This window comes from Homo sapiens, chromosome 3, assembly GCF_000001405.40.
Source record: "Homo sapiens chromosome 3, GRCh38.p14 Primary Assembly".
NCBI lineage: Eukaryota > Metazoa > Chordata > Mammalia > Primates > Hominidae > Homo > Homo sapiens.
In genome coordinates this window covers 70,530,347-70,536,569 of record NC_000003.12, presented here as the reverse complement: position 1 = coordinate 70,536,569, position 6,223 = coordinate 70,530,347, and the positions used below count along the sequence as shown (strand labels likewise).

At 39.1% G+C, this 6,223-nt stretch overlaps 1 annotated feature.

Annotated features, from left to right (window-relative positions):
- Positions 2,996–3,945: an enhancer, noted in NCBI's record as "OCT4-NANOG-H3K4me1 hESC enhancer chr3:70581776-70582725 (GRCh37/hg19 assembly coordinates)". NCBI's record gives its function as "activates a minimal SCP1, AML or CMV promoter by ChIP-STARR-seq in naive and primed H9 embryonic stem cells {active_cell/tissue: H9 hESC(naive and primed)}" and the evidence as "EXISTENCE:reporter gene assay evidence [ECO:0000049][PMID:30033119]".

Here is a 6,223-nt window from a genome sequence, read left to right as displayed (position 1 = left end):
TTAAGAAAATATATCTTCACCATTACTAGAAACCTAATGGCTTTCAGGCTCCATTTCCAACTAAAGTCCAAGGGTCTAACCCTTGGACAAATTTGAAAGGCACAGAATGTGTCTTCTTCACCTCTAACCTTTCTCTGCCCTCTTTCCGCACCTCTTATAGGCACTCCTTGGGTGCCAGGAGCCCCTGAATTCTTGTCAATCATTTGTGATGGCTGAGTGATTGGCATTCTCTGAATGAAACCCATTCACACTCAAATGTTACCTTGAACTCTCATTTGCATTTAAACCCTTTTCCTTCTCAGGGTGGAATTGCCAGCTTTTTTTTTTTTCCTTAAAAGATTTTCAAGCAGAAAACAGGAGAGATCTGGAATGGGGTGGGTGGAGTGAGGGGGTAGGGGGGTAGGATTTATGCTCACCCCATATCTATTTCCTCAAGTCTGAAACAAAAGCTCAGAGTGTCTTCTATGTTTCACTTGGGGAAAGCAAGAGGAATGGAAGGATGGAAGGATGGAGGAGTGGAGAGATGGGAGGAAGGAAGGAAGGAAGGGAGGGAAGAAAGAAGGGAAGGAGGGAGATGATGATTTTGGTTTTTATTCCAAAGTTGGAGATTTCTTGTCTGATGTGTCTTGGAAGTCATAGGGGATGGAGGGATGTGTCCTCTTGGCAATGATTGCTTCTGAAGGCTAAAGACTTCCCTTCCCTATACAATTGGCTAGGGACCTGAAACTCTCCAGAGTCCCACAATTTTAACATAACCCATTCCCCTGGCCCAAAACATGGACACACATGCATTGTGTTCCGCAATATTTTTGGTAGGTGTTTTTCTTATTCTTATGTACTTCAATGATGTAAAATAATCCCCGTTTATCATTTTGTTGTTCTAATCTCTGTTTCTAACAAAAGAAACAGTCTGAATCTCTTTACAGCAACACAGAGCATCACAGAACATGTCGCTGTCCCTTTCAATAAGCAAACTCCAATCCCTTCACAGCTTGTCCACTCAGCTGAGCACTGGACCAGTAACTGGCTTAAGACCAGACAACATTAGATAGAAACATACACTTCTCTAAAGCTGGATTATTAATAGTCTCACTGGCCTTGCATGTTTAGAGGCAAGATTGATTAGCGATGTCTGCTCTGGGCACAGGGGGACTGCAGGACACTTACTTGCAGTTTCTCTTGTTTAAGCTTCTTGTGTAAGCTTCTTAATCAGTCTTGGCTCTGTCCAATCACAGTTCTCAGGCATTGTGGCCCTGGTTGCATTCGCTCCTTCTCTCACACACACACTTTGTTAAGTGTTACTTGATGAGAGTTTGTCCGTTGTTAGTTAGGTGGCCTGAGTTCATGGAGATGACATGTGAGTGCTCTCAGTATAGCATCCCAACATGTTTTCCTTCCCACAGACAAACAATTTCATAAATTTTATCTAGCCTTTGGGTGGGTGAAAACATCATAGAAAGCTCATGAATGTATTTATTATGTAACTGCCACTTCTGTTCTGTGATGGTGTTAAAATTGCAAACATTGACCAGGTGCGGTGGCTCACTCCTGTAATCCCAGCACTTTGGGAGGCCGAGAGATGGGTGGATAACCTGAAGTCAGGAATTCAAGACCAGCCTGGGCAACATGGTGAAACCCCGTCTCTACTAAAAATACAAAAAATTAGCTGGATGCGGCTGTGCGTGCCTGTAATCCCAGCTACTCAGGAGGCTGAGGCAGGAGAATTGCTTGAGCCCAGGAGATGGAGGTTGCAGTGAGCCGAGATTGAGCCACTGCACTCCAGCCTGGGCAACAGAGTGAGACTCCATCTCAAAAAGAGAAAAAATTGCAAATGTTTTCTCTCAAGATACTATTAATGATGATGATGATGGCTAAATACTTATCTTTAAACAACAGACTCACAAGGCAAGTTAGCCAAGACTGGCTGAGGGAATAGCAGATTGCCAGCTCCCACCTCACTCTCACTCCACATGCAATGGCAGGTGGAATGACTGGCACTATTAAAACTAATTCCCCCATGCCTTTTGGGGGGTTGTAGTTGCCAATTGTGTAATGCTGAAGTCACCTAAGTTAGACATTCTTACCGTGAGCGTGTACTGTTTTACAAGCCGTAGTCATACCTCAAGAGCAGCCCCAGCAGCTTCTTTCATTAAGAAGGTATAGAGATGTCAATGGGCACATGCTAGTGACTTCTAGTCTCCCAACACAACCCCAATCCTGGGTGACCGCCATAAAAATGCACTTTGCTAATTAGAAGGGGAAGAGTCTACACACAGGAGTAAATGACTAGGTCAACTTTGGCCTTAAAACACAGGCATTGAAATGAGGCAGACATAAAGTAGAATCCCAGCTCTGCCACTTATTAACTGTGGCATTGGCTGCTTATTTAATATCTCTGGATTCTTTCCTCATTTGTAAAATGGGTATAATGGTAACTACTTCGTAGAGAGTATAAAGATGCATTTTAGAATAGGTGGAAAGTACTTCATTTTTTTGGTTTGCAAATGAGTCCCAAAGACAAGTAAGCCCCCTCTAGCCCAACAAATCATATACCCTCCACAAAAATCACCATTATTAACCTTGGCAACTAGCAGAGAATTGAAGGATCTCTTAACATTTACAGGACAATTGTCTGGTCATATATTAAAGTTGATGTTGGAATCTTAAAAATTAACTGGTGGACTGGGGTCCTACATGTTCAGAGCTAATTATGAGTTCATCGGTCAGTGTCTACAGAGGTGGGCTCCATCTTATCTAAGCCTAAATAGGCACAGCCTGGCTGGACTGGAAATTCAATATCACCCTATGAATATGATAACAAAATGTAGTGCATATGCCAGTGTTCAAATGCATTCTACTTGGAAAGCAGGAGAAAAATAGTAAAAGTGCCTGTTTCTATGTATAAAGTATATTCTATAAGTGCTAAATGTAGTTTTACATTACAATAGTACATGAGCAAAGTGCTTATGATATATTTTTAAACTTCTACATAGAGAGATTTGGGAGAAAAGAAGTGGTTGTGTTTAGTCACATTGAATTTTCATCATGTGAAAAGTTCAGGAGGCTTGTTAAGTGCTCAGAGGTGCATTTAGAATTCATTTTGTCAAAGCTTCTCCCTTCCCTAGCAGTGTGACGAGGGAACATGACTCAATCTCTGAGTTTCATCTGTTCAATGGGGATAAATACTAGGTCCTACCTCAGAGGTTGACTCCTCAAAGAATAAAGAAACTTAATGTAAATGTGCCTAGCACAGTGCCCAGAACACAGCAAATGCACAGAAATTATCTATGAGAACAAAATGACTAAAGTTAAACTAGTCAAATTCACATAAGAATAATTTAGCTTTTTAAATTGGTATTTTTATTGTGATATCTAGCTTGGAGCAAATTTCAAAAACAAAGGTTTTGACTTTTTCTAATGTTACACCTTTAAGATGTGACTCAGATGCCTTTATCCAGGACGAATTGTTGGAGAACAGGTATTCTAATGCAACATCTTTAGGGATGTGAACAAGGAGCTTTTGCCTTGTAAACTCATGGGGTAAAATCTCATCCCTTGATCTTCACAGTGTGACAAAGAGCTATTGATTGAGAGCATATTGTCATTTAAATTACAATTAAGGATGGGTGAAAGGTGGTTATTCAACAATTCAAACCTTTCTTTTAATACTGTCAAGGACGACTTAACCTTAACCCAAACACACTTCTAAAACTTCTGAGTTTCAATATGTCTAAAATCAATGTGCTTTTCTTAAAGTGAGAGAATCATGTCATTACTATCAGATGTTGAATTCGGTAGTTTTGAATCTGGTGGTGAAAATCTTTCAGAAAGCTTTGCTCTCAGAGGCAAAACACTTGTGTCTCAACGCAAATCCAGTACCACATTTGCACCTTAATATGAAATTAAATCATTCAGCACATTTTCCTAGAGTAGCTAGTTAGAAAAGTATATGCATTTTCAAAAATTAAGTGCTATGTGGGTGATGTATGTTTTACTTTAGAGCATTTTAAATAGGAAATCATCCTTCTGAAGGCACAAATTGCTAAGAACTTCATGTCTTTTATTACTAGGAAAACAATGTTCAATTCTAATGGCATTAGGCAGTACGCATCTTAAACGAACCAATGGACAGAACTGAAACTATTACTGACTGTCTTGCATTTTGCCATATGAATACACTTCATAAATGATTTGCTTTGATATCACAAACACACACACACAGGCACATGCACACACACTAGCACGCCACGCCTGCATTGGCAAAATGCTGGACTCAATCTCACAATCTTGCTCGGGCCAAGTTCCGTGCAGTTTTCACAGGAATGCAGACAGCATGAAGACTGCAGCTTAGATCTCCTGTGTTTCAAATTTGTTTTGCCAAAGCATCCCTTCTTTCTCTGTCTATCTCTTTCTCTAATGCATGCACACCTGCATGTTTTTCTCAGGAATGGCAGGCATTTACTGGGATGACAGATTATGCCAGAGGTGCCTTTGGCAGCTTCTCGCCCTCAGGGCAACCATTGCTCTGGCAGCAGTAAGTCAGTGAATAGTACAAGGTCATCCATCCCCCAGGTCCCCCGCCCCTTCTCCTGTGTGGGGCATGTGTTCCAAGGTACACTTCAATGGTTTGACACATGAGGTCATGGAAGGTAGTCTCCAATTTGGGTCCACACCATGTAAGCGAAAGCACCAAAGCAATTGGAGCTACCCATTTGCGGGTGAGATTCCTACTAGAGTACTGCACTGCTACTGAGCCTTCAATTTTGACTATCTTTAGATGTTTTCTCACTTGTGAAGAAAACCTATTAAAAGTGTATTTTTCTGTACTGCAGTGGTTTGTCAGGGTGTCTGCTAAACAAATGGGAACATCCGATTTTACATTTCATTTGAAAACTCTGAGTAGAAAAATCACCCGTGAAGCTGCCTTTCCATAATACAATTAGTGAGAAAAAAACAAACCAAGATGTCAAGCTTAATATTGGCATTGGTCAGAAACAAATTCTCTTATCAGAAAATTTACAGAGGCCCGCTGTAACCCGGAAAAACAGGAAAGGAGTATTGCTTGTCAATATAAATAACCAATCTATGTTAGCAAAACTTGAAGGATTTCTACTCATCTATTGTAGGAGAAAATTAAGTATCTCATCATGACTAACTCATATTTACTAATACATTCTATTGGAATGGCAAAGTAGAAATTTAAAGGCAGAATAGTTTTTAATTTTATTCAGGGAAACATAATACTAAATGTTTGGAAAATGAATACTTGGAAATTCAAGATATTGGGGGGAAGCAAGATGTTTTACTGCCGCCTTGTGGACAATTTAAAAGAACTGAGTTTTTATTTATGCTGGTGGTGAATATGTGAATCTTGGCCAATAATAGAATCAGACAAAAATGGGTACAGGATAGAGGTGGGATATAATCAAATATTAATTATTTAAATTTAGTCAGAAAAAGTATTTTTTTAACCCAAGGAGATCCATAAAGTCTTCAAGTGATTATGCCCTATAGTTCAAGAAATTCTTGACATACTCAAACAGGAGATGGGAGGAAATGCAATGAAATTGAATATTCGGTAATAGAGTTTAACCAGAATCATGTTCTAACTTTTTTTTAAATCCAAGGGGTTCCATGGGCACTACATAATTTTGCCACGATATTCCAAGAAAATTTTAAAAATCTCAGTTAATTATCATAGAATTAAATGCAGCACCGGAGAAGCAGTGATAAGAAAAACTGGACATATTCTGGGGTTCAGTCCAGCATTTTAACTTAGAATGTTTATTTAAACATAACTTGAGTTTATAAACTTGTTTTCTAGGGAGATTTATAGTGCTTTCTGATTTTGGCTGGATTGAAAAAGTCCAGCTTGACTTCCTGCTAAGAACGTGCTTGTGTAAACCACCTTCTTCTTGAATTTTGGCATGAAAAATATATTTTCATTGGACACATTTCTAATCACAAACAAACGTTCAGGTAGGTGCTTAATTTAAACCTAGCTACCAATATCACAGAAATAGCATAATAGAATGTTTCAGCATTCCAACACACCACATAAATTCTTGTTGACAAAGCACTAACAAATGTATTGTAATTTCTAATTTCCCATTGTTCTTCTGTTGGATAAATAATAGAAACGTCTGACCAATCCATTAAGAGAAAGATGGCTTAAGAATTTTGGGTGGTGATTTTAATTTAAAATCGAAAAAGCAAATTTAGA